General features: G+C 55.0%; 1 protein-coding gene and 1 non-coding gene across 16 annotated transcripts in view, besides 2 other annotated features; both read right to left on the bottom strand.

Annotated features, from left to right (window-relative positions):
* Nucleotides 1-472: 472 nt before the first annotated feature.
* The window catches only part of WWP2 (WW domain containing E3 ubiquitin protein ligase 2), a 179,408-nt gene continuing 164,449 nt past the window's right edge, over nucleotides 473-15,431 (bottom strand). For all 15 annotated transcript variants that reach the window (XM_017022879.2, XM_017022881.2, XM_011522823.3 and 12 more), the window contains 13 exons: nucleotides 12,683-12,764; nucleotides 11,954-12,082; nucleotides 10,985-11,060; nucleotides 10,632-10,703; nucleotides 10,322-10,410; nucleotides 8,083-8,242; nucleotides 6,226-6,359; nucleotides 5,760-5,900; nucleotides 4,974-5,094; nucleotides 4,560-4,664; nucleotides 3,089-3,185; nucleotides 2,799-2,871; nucleotides 473-2,371 (listed from right to left, as the gene is read on the bottom strand). In XM_017022879.2, the coding sequence (XP_016878368.1) occupies nucleotides 2,272-2,371; nucleotides 2,799-2,871; nucleotides 3,089-3,185; nucleotides 4,560-4,664; nucleotides 4,974-5,094; nucleotides 5,760-5,900; nucleotides 6,226-6,359; nucleotides 8,083-8,242; nucleotides 10,322-10,410; nucleotides 10,632-10,703; nucleotides 10,985-11,060; nucleotides 11,954-12,082; nucleotides 12,683-12,764 (1,379 nt within the window). In that variant the 3' untranslated portion in view covers nucleotides 473-2,271. The remainder of the gene's footprint in view (nucleotides 2,372-2,798; nucleotides 2,872-3,088; nucleotides 3,186-4,559; nucleotides 4,665-4,973; nucleotides 5,095-5,759; nucleotides 5,901-6,225; nucleotides 6,360-8,082; nucleotides 8,243-10,321; nucleotides 10,411-10,631; nucleotides 10,704-10,984; nucleotides 11,061-11,953; nucleotides 12,083-12,682; nucleotides 12,765-15,431) is intronic.
* Nucleotides 8,360-8,550: a silencer, noted in NCBI's record as "fragment chr16:69967565-69967755 (GRCh37/hg19 assembly coordinates)". NCBI's record gives its function as "represses an EF-1alpha promoter that drives an FKBP-Casp9 reporter gene in an ReSE screen in HepG2 liver carcinoma cells {active_cell/tissue: HepG2}" and the evidence as "EXISTENCE:reporter gene assay evidence [ECO:0000049][PMID:32094911]".
* On the bottom strand, nucleotides 9,032-9,131 carry MIR140 (microRNA 140). Its single transcript, NR_029681.1, has one exon. It is a non-coding gene; the product is annotated as a microRNA 140 (primary transcript).
* Nucleotides 11,752-11,909: a silencer, noted in NCBI's record as "fragment chr16:69964206-69964363 (GRCh37/hg19 assembly coordinates)". NCBI's record gives its function as "represses an EF-1alpha promoter that drives an FKBP-Casp9 reporter gene in an ReSE screen in phorbol 12-myristate 13-acetate-treated (for megakaryocytic differentiation) K562 erythroleukemia cells {active_cell/tissue: K562(+PMA)}" and the evidence as "EXISTENCE:reporter gene assay evidence [ECO:0000049][PMID:32094911]".

The raw sequence follows: 15,431 nt of genomic DNA, 5'->3' as shown, positions 1-15,431 counted from the left end.
TCAAAAACAAAAAAAAGTGGGTGGCAAGCCCTTACGTGACCCTGAGGTCAAGATCACAGAGTCCCTCGACCGTCGTGGAACTTGTGAAACCTGAGTATTTCCCAAATGAATGACTGCCTGGAACACTCTCCCTGCAAGCCAGTTTCGGAAGCCCACCCAGTCTGTAGCTGTTATTGTTCTGCACCCCACAGCAACTGCTTGGAGACCCCCGGGTCCAGCAGGCGGAGGCAGAGGGTGCCGAAAGGGTACGGTGAGGCAGCTGACCAAGGGCTGAAGCCGGTGACCCCTGGGCCAGGACTCAGCTGCCCAGCCCAGAAGTCGGGGGCTGCCTCGGTCCATGACACACATGCTTCTCAAAACCAGCGAGGTCAGGGAATTTCCACCCCTATCCAGGCCTGGAGGGTCTGTGAGGCCCGGAGTCCTCTTGACTGGAGGACTGTGGCTTTGTAAACATCCACAACAACACCACCCACAGCTGCTGATTGTTTATTGCACAAGAAACTGGCAATATCGAGGCAAGGGGCGGGCATTACAAAACAATCTGGTGACCAGCCCATGGCTAGCAAAGGGCATTCCGTACAGACACTTCAGTTATATACACGTACGCACACACACGCACGAACACACATGAACACCCGTGAGCCTGATGCTTCCAAACCTCACCAGCAGCTTGCACCCTGACCCACCCTGGAGCGGCTTCCATGGTAACGTGCCACAGGGAAGTACAGCAAATGACTGAAAGGGACAGAAGAGGCTGCGCTGTGGCAAGCTAAGCCACTCAAATCAGCACACACGACAGAGGCAGACGCAGGCTGCACCTCCCGGGCCGGGGGAAGGTCGAGAATCTGGGAGCATGGAGACTGTGCTTGGAAGGCACCCGGGACCAGTCCAAGGGGCTGCCTGGGGGTCCTAGAATCCTGGGGGCCCAGGCCGGGAGTCTGCCATGACTACTGCCCCAGCACCCCGGTGGGGCATGGTCACCTTGAAGATTTCAATATGACCTATGAAGATTCCAGTTACGGCAGAGTCCCCGTGTTGGAGGCTGGCGGGAACTGCAGAAATCAGATGGGGCTATGCAGCAGCTCAGGGCCTTTCTGCTGGTTTTCATGTCCTGTGTGCAGATAAAGCCTCACACCTATGCAGAATGAACACTTTCCGCTGGCGGGCTGCACTCCATTCTGAACAGGGGACCAACAGGCCCTCCTGGAGCTCCAGGGGCTGGCAGGGGAGCTCCACAGCCGGACCCCTGTGTCCCGCCACTGGGGACTGCCTGGGGGACCCTATCTAGCAAAGGGATTTCTTCTCTATTGAAGGCGGCAAGGCTAGGAGTGGCGCTCGGGACCTCAACCCCTCTCATTCTGCCAGGCTTGGGGACGAGGTCCCTGCCAGGCTGTGCCGCCGGGTCAGGCCTGCCTGAGCTCACGGAACCGCCAGGTGGGTTCCTGAGAGGCGTGGCTGTTTGGGAAACTCTTGGACCCAAAGGTCTGGGTCCCTCAAGGTCTCAGAACACCTGGGGTGCCAGCTCCTGGACAGAAAGTGACAGCAGCGTAACAAAAAACCTGCAACCCTACAACACAACCACTTCAAGTTTATACATGGACAAAGTCTGAGGGAGTTTGCTGTTTTTGTCCCGTGGATACCCAGGCAGCTTAGACAAACCTTCATTGGCTGAGAATGAATTAACTGGCCGGCATGTGTCCTGCGACTCAGCCTCCACCGCTGGCGCCTGCTAGGGAGGCAGGCAGAGATGGCCTCGCCCCAGGGCCCGCTCCCTCAGACCTTCACTTCATCTCCATCATCAGAGAGGCTCAATTACAGGCAGAACCTCCTTTGCTGGCAAAGACCCTTGGCGCTCTCAGTCCCGAACAGCCACCCCCAGTGGCCAGTCTCCTCGCCGAACTAGTCCAGGAGGTCTCCGGCCTCTGCGGCAGCCCCTGGGGATGCAACACCTTCCCTTGCACACTCACATACACCCAGGGTGGGGTCTAGAGGACAGGGGAGAGTTTTGCAGAGAGGGTCAGCCCTCTGGAACTTTGCAAAGGTGGGGCCAAAGGCAACTAGGGGGCTTTATTCCAGACTGCCATCCGCGGGTCGGGGGAACTGCAGGGCCTCCTGGGATCAGGCTTTTCTGCCAGCAGCGAGATGACAGTGTGGTCCCACACAGGGCCACATCCACGGGGGCCTCCCAAGGGCTGCGGGGCCAGTGGCCTCTCAGGCAGGGAGGACTCAGGACTACATGTGCGCTGGGGGGCGTGGGAGGGGCGGCCTCGGTTACTCCTGTCCAAAGCCCTCGGTCTCCTCAATGGCATACAGCAGCTTCTCTCTCAGCTGTTCGTAGCTCTTGTAGGGTGGAAGATCCAGACGGTTGAAGCTATTGAGAGTGGGGAAGCACGACAGTCAGCCCTAGGAGGCCAGGGCTCTGATAGCCCCACCATGCCTGCCTGCAGCAGGGCCACAGGGCTTGCACCACACTGGCTAGGGCTCAGGGGCTGCCAGTCAGGCCTTCACATTGCAGGTGCCTGGACCATGGGGTGTTAAGGGAGGGGCCAGGACAGCTGGAAATTGGTTGCGGGGGACACTTGGGGCAGTAGCTCTTGGACTACTGGAACAGAAGTGCTTCATATGTAAAACCCGGTAGATCAGATGCCCATCACAGCCCCATCTCTCCAACCCAACACCCCAGGGCCACGCAAAAGCTGCCAGACTCGAGGCTATGAAGCTGCTACACCCACTGGGCTGTCCCAGGAGCTCATCGGGTCTGAGGCCCCCCGACCTCCCACTAAAACCAGCAGGCTCACCAGGTGTGGCTTCTGGGCAGCCAGGTTTCCTTGCCAACTTTGTCAATGCAAAACTTCTGTGGTCCGTTGCTACCTGTGATCCAAGGTAAAACACGCCGACGTCAGCAGAGACGTCCCTTCCCAAAGCAGGATCCTCCGGCTCCACCCACAGATGGGCTCGGCCCCAGGATGCAGAGGCCACAGCTCTTCTCCATCCCACTGACGTGCTTCCAGGAAGAGACTAGGTTTCCCCCTCCCTCTGAGCTGTCCGCACTGCCAGCCAGGACGCCAGAGGGCGAGAGAAAACATACCGATGAGTTCGGCAAATCCCCCGACGGGCAGGCGGCAGGTACCGGTGACAAACTGCAGCAGCCGGATCCTCTTCTCGTTGTCCATCTCCTTCACCACCTGGAAGTCCGCAAGTCAAGGCACAGTCAGGCAACCCACGGGGCCCAGTACTTTGCCCGAACGTGGAGCTCTCTAGCTCAGCGGGGCCCCTCTTTGGGGCTGAGAACACAAAGCCAGGTTGGCCAGGGGATGACAGCCTCCAACCTGAGAAACCCCAGAAGTGCTTTTGCTAAGAGGCTGTGTGTGCATGAGATTCCCACCAGTCCATGGGACATCTCTGGGTCTCAGGGACACCTCAGGCTGGGTATTCTCTTCCCATCCACGTTCTGCTTTTAGAGATGACTAAATATGGGAGTGACTGCTTAATGGGTATAAGGTTTTTGGGGAGATGAAATGTTCCAGAATTAGATAGTGGTGCCAGGTGCACAACACTGTGAATGTACTGGAAGCCACTGCTCTGTCGCCCAGGCTGGAGTGCAGTGGCACGGTCCAGCTCACTGCAGAGCAGTGGCACGGTCCAGCTCACTGCAGTCTCCACCTCCCAGGTTCAAGTGATTCTCATGCATCAGCTTCCCGAGTAGCTGGGATTACAGGTGTCCACCACCATGCCTGGCTAATTTTTTATATTGTTAGTAGAAAGAGGGTTTCACTATTTTGGCCAGGCTGGTCTTGAACTCCTGACCTCAAGTGATCTGCCCACCTCGGCCTGGGTGGGAAGCCAAGGAACCCAAAGTGGAAAGCCACTGAATTGTGTATCTTAAAAAACTTAAATGGGTTGGGCACAGTGGCTCACGCCTGTAATCCCAGCACTTTGGGAGGGTGAGATGGAAGGACTGCTTGAGCCCAGGAGTTCAGGACCAGGCTGGGCACCATAGCAAGACCCTGTCTCTATTGAAAAAAAAAAAATTAATAGTTAATTGTATGTTATACAAATTTCACCTCCACAAAAAATTTGTATACGTACATATGCACACAGACATGTACTAAGAATACCTGTAATCGCTATTTTTTTTTGTATGCTGTATTTCATAACGACAACAACAAAACCCATACGTATAAAAGAATCAACACATTAATTATACATAGGATGACAGCTCTTTCTGGTTTCTGGAGCCAAGCCCCTGCCTTCCTGTCCCATCTGGCTGGCAGGGGACCTCTCAACCAGTGGCAGCTGCTGTCTGCCTGCAGGTCTGTCCCTGCACACCAGCTGGCCCAAGGCTGACCACTGACGACCTCCTGTCACATCCACTGGCCACCACTCAGCTGGAACTGTCCCCGTTCATCCCAAGGCTGGTCTATCGTCTCCTTTTGCAAGGTGTGGGAGGCAAGGACAGGGCCAAAGCTGAAGGTCCTTGCGCGTGAGGCCTCCTCAGGACCCGTTTCCTTTGGTTGATGGCCCAAATGTCCCTGCCAAGGCCTGGGCCCGGGACCCACCTGCCAGAACCACTGGATCTGCTTGCTGTTCTTGGTGTAGTGCCGGTAGATGGTGCTCTTCTGCCAGTCGCTCATGTCTATCTCCTGCATGCCGCACAGCATCAGCTGGGGAGAGGCGGCAGTCAGCATCCCCGGCAGGTCCCTCCCCGCGCATCGTCCACTCGCTAGCACTTGACATTACCCCAAACATATTCAACTAGCTATTTTTGGTGTCAGCGTTAATAATATGGGTAATGTAAGTCCCTGCTTTCTTGAAACAAGTGTCTGGGGAAGGGTGGGTCCCAAATCAAACCCATCTGCCCTGCCGAAGTGGGAGTTTTACGCTGAGTGTCTGTGGGTACACAGTGAGCGTATCACAGAGCAGGATCGCCCCAGAGGCAGGGGCTCAGGGTCCCAGCAACCTCAGACACTCACCTCCAGCTCTTTCTCGTCAAAGTAGCGCAGCCACTCCAGCGGGGCCACCTCGTTGAAGCCATCCAGGAAGGCTTTGGTCTGCTCTTCCACGCCTCGGGTGAAACGCCAGTCAGTCAGCAGCCTGAGACCAAAGAGCAGCCATGGGTGGAGTCTGAGACCCACTGCTCAGGGGTGGCTCCCGGCCAGGCCGCGTGGCCGTTACCGCGCAGGACCACCAGATCAGCAGAGCCCACTTCGCACACCCAGACCCAGCCTGCTGGAGGACCTAGAGTGAGGCCCTGAAAACCTCACAGTGACCTGCAGACACCGGAGTCTTTGAAATCATCCTCACCACCACCTCCTCCTGCTCCTGCCCCCAGCGCCGACTGAACCTCAGACGTATGGAAGCGTGGAGATAAAGACTAAAGCAAGAGGCCTGAGGAACAGGCACGGAGAACGGGCACACGTGAGACGGTGGGTCTAGGCACACAGGCCACAGAGATCCTTTCGGCCCGGAGAAAGATGCAGATGTCTCAGCTTGATGCCACTTCAAAGAAATTCCACGCTGCAGGCTTGAAGTCTCCCACATGGCGAAAAAGCACAGCTGGGAGTCGGTAACTAAGGACCTCGGCTTTGGTTCCCCCAGCTCGCGCCATCACATGACCGCCCACCAGCAGCCACCATCAAGGCAAATGCAAATGGCATCCACAGTGACCGATGGGCCACAGGTGGGGGCCCATCTTTCTCTGCAACCCACTAGATCTCCACGCCACCCCTGGAGCGGAGCCCCCGGCGCCTGAGACTCACATGATGTACTCTTCCTTGTTCTCCTCTGTGACCCGGATGCTCTCGCCGCCCTCCTTCAGCTCGTGGGTCGTCACCTTGCCCAGTATCTCCATGTCCTGGATGAAGTACAGCTCCAGGCCACATTCTTCCAGGTTGTTCTCTCTGGGGGCACAGGAGACCAAGTGGGGAGATGTCTACCGTGTCAGGGTCTTTCCTGGATCCTGCTCTGTTGCCCGTGGGACACCAAGGGCCCACAGGTGGCCTAGAATCCTGAACAGTGACAGGGGACAGCTCCTTGACTCAAGGAGAAGGTTCTAGAACTGTCCCCAGGGAACCCAGAGGACATTCCTCTCCACAAGCTCTTATAGAGGCTGGAAAAGAGCTCAGGGGCCACACTGGCAGACAAAATAAAGGCCATCAGTACCTGCTTCCCACCCAGAGACGTCCCTCCTATCAGCGCGGTGGGGCAAGGGGGCAGGGAACTCACTTGATCCAGACAATGGAGTTGTAGAACTCAGGGTCAATGGACTCCAGGTCTTTCAGGGTTGGTCTCTTATTGAGCATCCGCTTGTAGAAAGGGAGGGTGAAGCCCGTGTCGATGAACTTTCCATGGTACAGCGCCTGGGAAGGAAGAGGCACAGCACAGAGGTTTGGCCTTCCCTGGGCACTGCCAAGACCAGCTCTCAGATGCTCGGTATCAAACTCTGCTACCGCTACCCGCCTTCCTTCCCTGACAGAACTACAGCAGCAGCTGCCTCGGACGCAGCGGGAGGGCCTCAGGAGTAAACAACGCCTTTATCCTGACTTGTACCTACAGAGGGACTCCCACCCTGCCCTGCAGACCGCAAGGACTGGGCAGAGCCAGCTGGTGCGGGAACCCACGTCCGGGCCCGCATCTGCCCCGCACGCTGGCCGGCTGGCTCCTGGCCTAGCAAAGGTCTGCCCCACGCTCACAGAAAAGGCTTGCTCTGAACAGCTGCAGGTGGCAGCCCTGATTCACTGGCGCTCAGGGTGGGTGGCAAAGGCAGCCAAAAATAATGCAGACACCGCCGACAGCGAGAGCTGGCGGCCAATGGTGAGTAATAGTCTAGGGTTTTACCGGTCTGTCCTGCTGGCTGCTGGGCCAGGCGGGTCTCTAGACCTGGGAAGAATGTGCCCATTTCCAGAGCCCAGCACCTTGGCCAAGAACTCCTCGACGATGGGAAGGGCCGGCCATATTTAGTCACAGGCTCATGGGGCGCTTGGGTCCTCCTAAGAGGGGAGCCGGGTGGGACACTCAGGAAGGCAGGGGAAGAAGCGAAGGAAAGGAGAATTGAAACATCTCCAGCTATGCATGTGGCTCCCGCGCTGTGCCTCCCACGGGCTCCGCTTCTCAATCCGGGTTCTCCACGCTCCCAGGACCCTCAACGGGGCACGTGGCAGGACCTCCCTTTCCATATTCACATTGTGTCCCTCTTTCCAGTTAAATACAGACGCTGGGACGCCCCTCCCCAGAACTGGCTCACTTTCTGACAGATGTCCCTACACCCTGCACCAGCCAGTCTACTGTTCACCAGGAGGCAGCGTGGCGTGAACGGCAGCGCCCATGGACTGGCGCGCCCTCTCTGGGCTCTACCCTTCGCCCCCATAGAGCTGGTAACCTAAAAATGTAAAAAGCTGGAGATAGTTCTGGAGAAACCAGAGCTTTCTCAGTGGCTGCCCTGTAGGTACTGAAGAGTTTCCATGTTGCTTTGCATAGGACTTGTCAAGAGGGGGCCCAGGGTCTCTGGGCCACAGACTTTACGTTTTGTTCTACACTAGTGTTGATTCCAAATGCCCTTCCAGAAGGCTTAGTGTCTCAGTGGGACATTCCCAAATGCCGTGACAGTGTCACCTCCCAGAGACAGGCAGCAGGTGGGCAGCTATGGTTTCACCTGGCCCTGTCATCCCAAGGCCCTCAACAGAGCACATATTTAATGTTCAGTAAAGTCTGTGGCCCAGCGACCCTGGGCTCCCTCTTGACAAGTCCTGTACAAAGCAACATGGAAACTCTTCACTACCTACAGGGCAGCCACTGAGAAAGCTCTGGTTTCTCCAGAACTCTCTCTAGCTTCTTGCATTTTTAGGTTACGAGCTCTATGGGGGCAAAGGGTGGAGCCCCGAGAGGGTGAGCCAGTCCACGGGGGCTGCCGTTCACGCCACGCTGCCTCCTGGTGAACAGGCCCAGGGCCTCCTCCAATGCTGCCCCTTCCTGGAGGTCTCAGAGAAAGAGCAGATTCCCCTGGTGCCCCTGGCACACTTCACCAGGAGAGGGAAGAGGAGGGAGAGGAGGAGGGAACTAGGCAGACCCCTGGGGCCCCCTTACCATGGCGATGAATCTGCCTATAAAGCGAAAGTAGGTGAGGTGGTCCGGGTTGATGGAGGAGGCGGGGTTGATCTGCAGGCAGTAATTGTTCTTTCCGGCATATTCAAATAAACAATACATAGGGTTGAGCACCTCATGAGACAGGAGGAAAAACCACTCTCTGTGAGGGAAGAGACAGAAAAGACAAGAATAATGGGTCCCTTCGTGCACATCTGCACAGGAGCTGTGTCTCTTCACCATCGTGTCTCAGGTTAGTATGGGGACACGTGTCCCAGGGAGTCGAGCCCTGTGACAAGCACCCGGGCTAACCTATATGAACAGCTGGTCAGTGAACAGGGCAGGCTCAGACCTACAGTGAACCAGGGCGGCAACTGCATTTGAGGATGATATTTGGGAAAACGTGTGATTGTCGGCTCCCAGGTGATGTGTTCCAAGACTTTACATCACAATATCCAGAGCTTCTAATGGTAAAGGGGGTCCTTGTACCCTGGGTCACCATGCTCAGTTGCCTAGGCTGTGCACTGCACAAGGGCACGATGCATGTTTATTACAATAATTTTTCTGCAAAGGTTCTGTTTGAATAGTAACTACCCTGTTTCCACTCTACCTGGGCGGGCAACATAACGTAAATACACAGCAACACATTTCCAACCCCGATCCATGACAATGTAATCCATGCTGCCTTCAGATGAGAAACCTCATGCCCACCAGCTATGCAACACTCTTGCACTTTGCCCTCCCTTCACCCCCAGACCCCAACACCATCCCCGTTCCCACACTTCCACGCATTCATCTGAACCAACACCCGTGCCCTGGGTGCGAGCCTCAGGCATGAATTCAGAGTCCTTTTGGGCTTGAGCTAAACCAGCAAGGGGATGTCCCAAGGGGGCCAGTCCCCAGCTGCTGGGCTGTTTGTGGCTGGGCAGACGAGGAGTCCGTCGACGCAGAGGGTGCCCCGGTATCCTGTCCGTGGTTCTACCCTGTGGTAGAACAGCATGACGTAACCTACCATAGGGTAAAACCACTGGCAGGACACAGAGAGAGACACACACAGGGCGCGGCCACACCAGAAGCCCACCAAGCAGAGCCTGGAGAGGAGGTCACCACGGAAAAAAGGAACATCCATCCACGGGGCCAGCGCAGAAGGCAACGCCACCACCGAACAGAGGACCAGAAGCAAGTTAACCCAACACCAAGCGGGAAGACATGCCCACACCGGGAGAGGTCTCGAGCGGAGAGGTCGCTGCGGGCCACAGCGCTCTCTCTCTCTGCCGGGGCCCTTCTGCCCTGCTGTCCAAGGCAGCATTTCCCAGAGGGCCTGTTAACTTTTATGGGTGGACCAGGGTGAAGGCAAGACAATGCTTTGGACTCTTTTTAGGGTGACATAAGCCGTTACAGTTTTACTGACCCCAGGCATGTGACATGCAGTTGAGCCCTGCTCAAGGCCCTGTGGATCGTGACACAGCTTATCCACACGGGGACACCTGACTTCACCTGCCCTGGCTGCCTTAAGAGGAGGGGATCCCAGGGTCAACTCTAATGGATGACCACATGGCCCCTATATTCAACTGCCCAGATGCTGCTGGCCTGGTTGTTAAAGTACAGAAACATGACACATTGGTAGATAACAGAGCCATTGTACTGAGCTCTCGCCCCTCCCAGGAGTCCTCCGTCGCCTCATGACCCAGTAACTAAAGGCTTAATGTCCAGCCCAGTGGGGCACCCCAGGCCCCTGTTCCAGGCCCAATGGACTGGCCACATGGATTCACGTATTTTGTTTTTTTGTTTGTTTTGTTTTTGAGATGGAGTTTCGCTCTTGTTGCCCAGGATGGAGTGCAATGGCACGATCTCGGCTCACTGCAACCTCCTGCCTCCCAGGTTCAAGCGATTCTCCCGCCTCAGCCTCCCCAGGAGCTGGGATTACAGGCATGCACCACCACGCCCAGCTAATTGTGTATTTTTAATAGAGACGGGGTTTCTCCATGTTGGTCAGGCTGGTCTCGAACCCCCGACCTCAGGTGATCCACCTGCCTCAGCCTCCCAAAGTGCTGGGATTATAGGCGTGAGCCACCGCGCCTGGCGGGTTCACGTATTTTGAATGCCACACTGTGCCCATTCCTGAAGATGCATGAGAGCTTTGGGAGGGAATGTGAGCAGGGGGCAGGCAGCTTTCTGGCCATTGATGCTGTAGCCTGGGGAAGCGGGGTACAGGGCAGCCTTCCGGGGCACTCAAGCTCACCTGGCGATGCCCCCATAGTCCAGGCCCTCCTCGCCACGCATGATGATGTAGAGCCGGCGGCGCAGGTCATAGGGTTTCATGTTCATGATCTGGGAAGACAGAGCATCGGGCCAGCCTGCCACTCTCCCTTCCACAGCAGGCAGGGGCGGGAGGGACAGGGGACTCTAAGGCCCAATATCCAGCAGACACAGTCACCAAGACTCACGCCCTGGAAAGTCTGCAGTGTGGGTTTAACAGGCCACGCGATAGGAGATGGGGTGCTGGGAGGAGGGCGTCGGCCTGCCACTGGTTTCGGGCACCATGATCTAACCTGTTGGAAGGAATCTTCGAAAAGCGTCTGCCTGGAAACGCTGATCTTCACGTGGCTAGGTAGGGCATTTGACTGAAAAAAAAAAAAGAAAAGAACTTTAAATCGAGCCTCAAGTGGTCATCTGTTCTCCTGTCTGTATGAACAGGCATTCCCCAGCCTGCTGGGCCAGGAGGCAATAGCATGTGCCCTAGGAATGAAAACTAGCTTCCTAGAGACAGCCAGCTCCGGGTTAGACAAGTGTCTTGCGCCCGCCTAAGACACAAACATTCCGATACCTGCTGCTGTGCCGGGAACTCACACTGAAATAACTCAATAACCCCAACTGCCACGGGAGCCCCAGTACCAGAACTCACATGGCAGAGGAAACGGAACTGGTGATACTTCCACCGAAAACTGCGGTCATAAGCACCAGGGGAACCTTGCTTCGTCCTAGGAAGAGCAAAGATGTTCAGGGGTTCATGCGATTTCTCAGAAAATGAACAATTTGTCTTTGTCAGCCCTAAGGAAAGCTGGTGCTATGTTAATTTAAAGATTAGTAATGTAAGGTGAGGAAGTGACTGTCATTAAGATCCTTGAAGAATAAAAAAGAAAATCTAGAAATAAAGCCAGACTTCTTGCTTTTAGAGAAATAACTCTAGTGTCATTCGGAATAAACAGGATAGTCCCTTCCTCCCCATCCCATCTTATTTATTTGTTTGTTCGTTTTCTAGAGACGGGGTCTTGCTCTGTCACCCAGGCTGCAGTGCAGTGGTGTGATCATGGCTCACTGCGGCCTCGAATTCCTGGTCTTAAGCGATCCTCCCGCTTTAGCTTTCCAAGTAGCTAGGACTACAGGAGTGTGCTACCACACCGAGCTAATTTTAAATGTATTATTATTTTTTAGAAACAGGGACTCACTCTGTCACCTGAGCTGGAGTGCAGTGGTGCCATCATAGCTCACTGCAGCCTCAAACTCCTGAGCTCAAGGGATCCTCCCACCTCAGCCTCCTATGTAGCTGGGACTACAGGCATGCACCACCACATCCAGCTAATTTTTAATTTTTTTTTGTAGAGATGGGGTCTTGCCATTTTTCTCAGCCTGGTTAATCTTTTTTATTGTTGTGGAGACACGGTCTCGCTATGTTGTCCAGGCTGGTCTCAAACTCCTGGGCTCAAGCTATCCTCCCATCCCCTTTAATATGACATCAACATTGGCCACTAGAGGGCAGTAAGGGCAGTAGAACGCACCACAGGGGCCACCCAAAGTGGGCCTCCCAGAGCCAGAACAAGGACAGCCTGGGCCTCGGCTCCTGACACTGCTGCTACCTGCACAAAGTCCTTACCCCGACTCAAACCCCGGGCGAGGATCCTTAAAGGTGGTGGTGCGGGTATTGTGGTCCACAAAGTATCGCACCCCCTCGCTGGTGTATTTCATCTCCCATCCTGGGGGCAGAGCTGGTTCCTGGATCATCCTGGAAACACGGGAAGAAAAGGGTGAAGGGCTGGCCCCACCTTCTGGACCTTGGTGGTTGGAGGCTGGGTCCTCAAAGTGTGGCTTTGTCTCTGCAGAGCCCATGAGGGACTTTGAGGACATGCACCCAAGAAGCATGACCCAAGTCGTGAGAACAGTTCTGCAGCACGGAGAGGTCACTTATTATCTCATGGCCAAAAACCCAGCCCTGCATGGATGGCATTGGACTGAGCAGCCACCAGCAATCCTGAGGCACCCTGTGCCCCAGCACAGCTTCACTTGGGGGTGTTGGGAGACCAGGATGCCCTCAACCTTTTTGCAATCCAATTATCAGCAGCCAGCACAATCAGTATGGAGACCAGCAACACCCGCCAGCCGGGCCGCCCTCCATCCACCAGGAAGGTCTATTTAAGAAACCCCTTTTAAGCTCTCATCAGGCCAACAGTGTATCTGTACGGTGAGAGTCTCAAGACACTTGTGTGTGGCTAAAGGTCCCTGACATCAGCCCTCTGGGACGATGCAGTCCAAAGCCACCTGCCCAGTGCTGGAGCTGCACAGAGACCCAGCCCAGCCCGGCCCCCCTCTCAGCCCAAGTCCTTACCCCTGGGTCCGGGGATCCTCCCACTGGGTCGTGCGAGTGTTATGGTTCACGTAATACACCCGTCCATTGTCCTGTCTCTTCTCTGCCACATGAGAAGAAAGAAAGAACATCAGATTCAAACACGGAGAGCCGGTGTCCTTTCCCTGAGGTTCCCACCTCCTGGGTGCTGGGTCTGAGTTTATCTCCCTGTTGTCAGCCTGTTAGAGAAGAACCAGCCAAAGCCAAGCTCACTCACACTTGTCACTGGGAAAGGGACAAAGAGGGTCCTTCCTTGTTGGTGGTGGGGGGCGGGGGTGACATACTTCCAACTCGAGATGAAGCACTTCTTTGGTTGATTGGTCGGAGGGAGGGGGTGGTGTGGCCACCCAGAGGGAGCAGCACAGCTCAAACCAGAGGCATAATTGCTCCCAGCTGTGTGCAGCATGGAAGCCGGGCAGTCCCTAACCCGCCAGGCCCCCCACCCAAGTCCCTCACAGCTGATCCCTGGTCCTGGGACCCTCTGCACTGCATGCAGCTAACCTGGGCGCCTCTGTCCTACAGGGCGTGGTCCTTATGGAGTGGCTGCATTTCCCTCGCACCTCTCTGATCAGTGCTCTGCACCCTGCGCCCCTGTACCCTCCAAGTTCTCCCTCTTCTCCCACTTACAGGCTAAGTCTTGTTCTAAAACTCTCATACCCTGGCACGCCTCTTTCTTGCTTATAAGCAAATAAATGATATCTGGGGCTGAGGACACTTACACTGCCCAGCCTCTTCTTAGACTTGTATCTTTTTTTTCTTTTTTATATAAAGACAGGGTCTCGCTATGTTGTCCTGGCTGGTCTCGAACTCCTGGCCTCAAGTGATCCTCCCGCCTCAGCCTCCCAAAGTACTGGGATTACAGGCAATAAGCCACCGTGCCTGGCCTGCCTATCCTGTTCTTAGGCCTAAGTATGTGCTTTGAGACAGGGGAATGTTCATGGAGTGGGGCTGGGGAACAAATACACTTTTCCTCTGCTCTGAACAATCTCTGTTCTCTTGCCCTTTACTGATATACTGATAAGGGCTCTGGGGTCCCCAAGGGAGGAGTCTGTGCTCCAGGGGCAGACCCAACCCTAGCTGGTGATTCTGGACCTTGAGAGGGATTGAAAGGGATAACCTCTCAGCTCCAGGTAGACAGGAGAAAAAAAAAACAAAAAACTAGGGGGTAAAGCTCTTGGCTCAAAAGAGGTCACCTTTCCCAGGAAGTTCCTGAGCCTTCAAATCTGCTTCTCTCCTGAAAACAAATGATGCTAATGGCTCTCCTTTTACAAGACAGGGCAGCATTAAAGAAACAAAAATAATCAGTTCCAGAAGCTACAGGGAACCAGAAAGCTGAAAAAGGAGCAGAACAGGGAAGTGCAACAACCCCCTCCTGACTCCAAGACTCGAGCTGCAGTGCTCCCAACACCAGACCAAGGCCTCAGTCTCCCTCCCACTCTCTGCCTTACCTGGTATCTATGACTCGACTGAAATTTTACAAACAGACATTATTTGTCAATCATACCTCAGTAAAGCTGGAAAAACAAATAAATAAAATAAAAATAAAGACAGGCTGGGCACGGTGGATCACGCCTGTAATCCCAGCACTTTGGGAGGCTGAGGCAGGAGGATCGCTCGAGCCCAGGAGTTCGAGACCAGCCTGGGCAACACAGCGAGACTTCATCTCTATTTTGTAAATAAAAAATAAATAAAAGAAAGCCAAAGGAAAGAAAGAACAGGAGGTGCCCAGAGCTGTTACAGAGCTACCACCACCTCAGAACACACAGAAGGAAGGCTTCCCAAGAGGTTTCCAGGGGAGGGGCTGCTCCCAGCCCCGAAGCTACTGCTTTGAACTAGATCCTCCACGTCTGCCCTGTTAAGGGCCAAAGCCAAGGCTAACCACAGGGCCAGGGGGATCTGTCCAGCGGGCTTGAGGCCTGTGTCGTCATTTCTGGCACTGCTGCTGTGTGGAGGCCTCCCAAGGCCGGCTGGCTGCCTCGCGGCATTCAGTTTCAGTTGGGGGCTGGGAAAGACCCCAGGAACACCTGGCTCGACCTCATTTTAGGACAAAGGGACTCAGACATATTCAGCCACAGGCCCAGGGTCAGGGCTGCCGAGGGCAGATGTGGATCTGAACCCGAGGTGTCCTGAGTCCCACAGCAGTGTGTGGGGAAGATGCGGGGTCTCTCCTGGGGCAGCAGAGAGGGACACCAGCAGGCTGGGTTAGCAAGCTGCCGATCACTCTCACTTGGTCTGGCTGTTCTTCCTGTTCATTCTCGGTGAGCCCTGGGGAGCCGGCCCCAGCCACAGCCCTGGGGCAGCCAACACAGATCCCCAAGGATCTGAGATTCAGAAGGAGCCCTGGCCTTTAGCCAGAATGTTCTTCCTCTTAATTCTAGACTATGACAGTTTTGTGGGTTTTTTTCTGATCGTTCATTAACAGTATCGACTCTGACCACGGCTCCTCCATTTCTATCTCAAATATTTCCACACTTAGCATTCGAGAGCTGTTTTCAAGTCTCCATCAGCTGTGCTTACCTGGTGACCATCACTCAGCAGAACTGGCATGAAAACCCACTTGACTGGGCTACATCACCTGCCTCTACAGAGCCTGAAATACACTAGAAGTCCCCGGCTTCTATGCCACTGGCTACTAAACAGCAGTACAGATTCTTGTTTAATCTGACGCATTTTCCCCTGCCTACTGACGACGCAGGGTCTTCAGAGTTTTACTCTCTCGCATTGGAGTTGC

This window comes from Homo sapiens, chromosome 16, assembly GCF_000001405.40.
Source record: "Homo sapiens chromosome 16, GRCh38.p14 Primary Assembly".
Classification (NCBI taxonomy): domain Eukaryota; kingdom Metazoa; phylum Chordata; class Mammalia; order Primates; family Hominidae; genus Homo; species Homo sapiens.
Note: the sequence above shows the minus strand (reverse complement) of the source record. Positions and strands in the feature narration are given on the sequence as shown.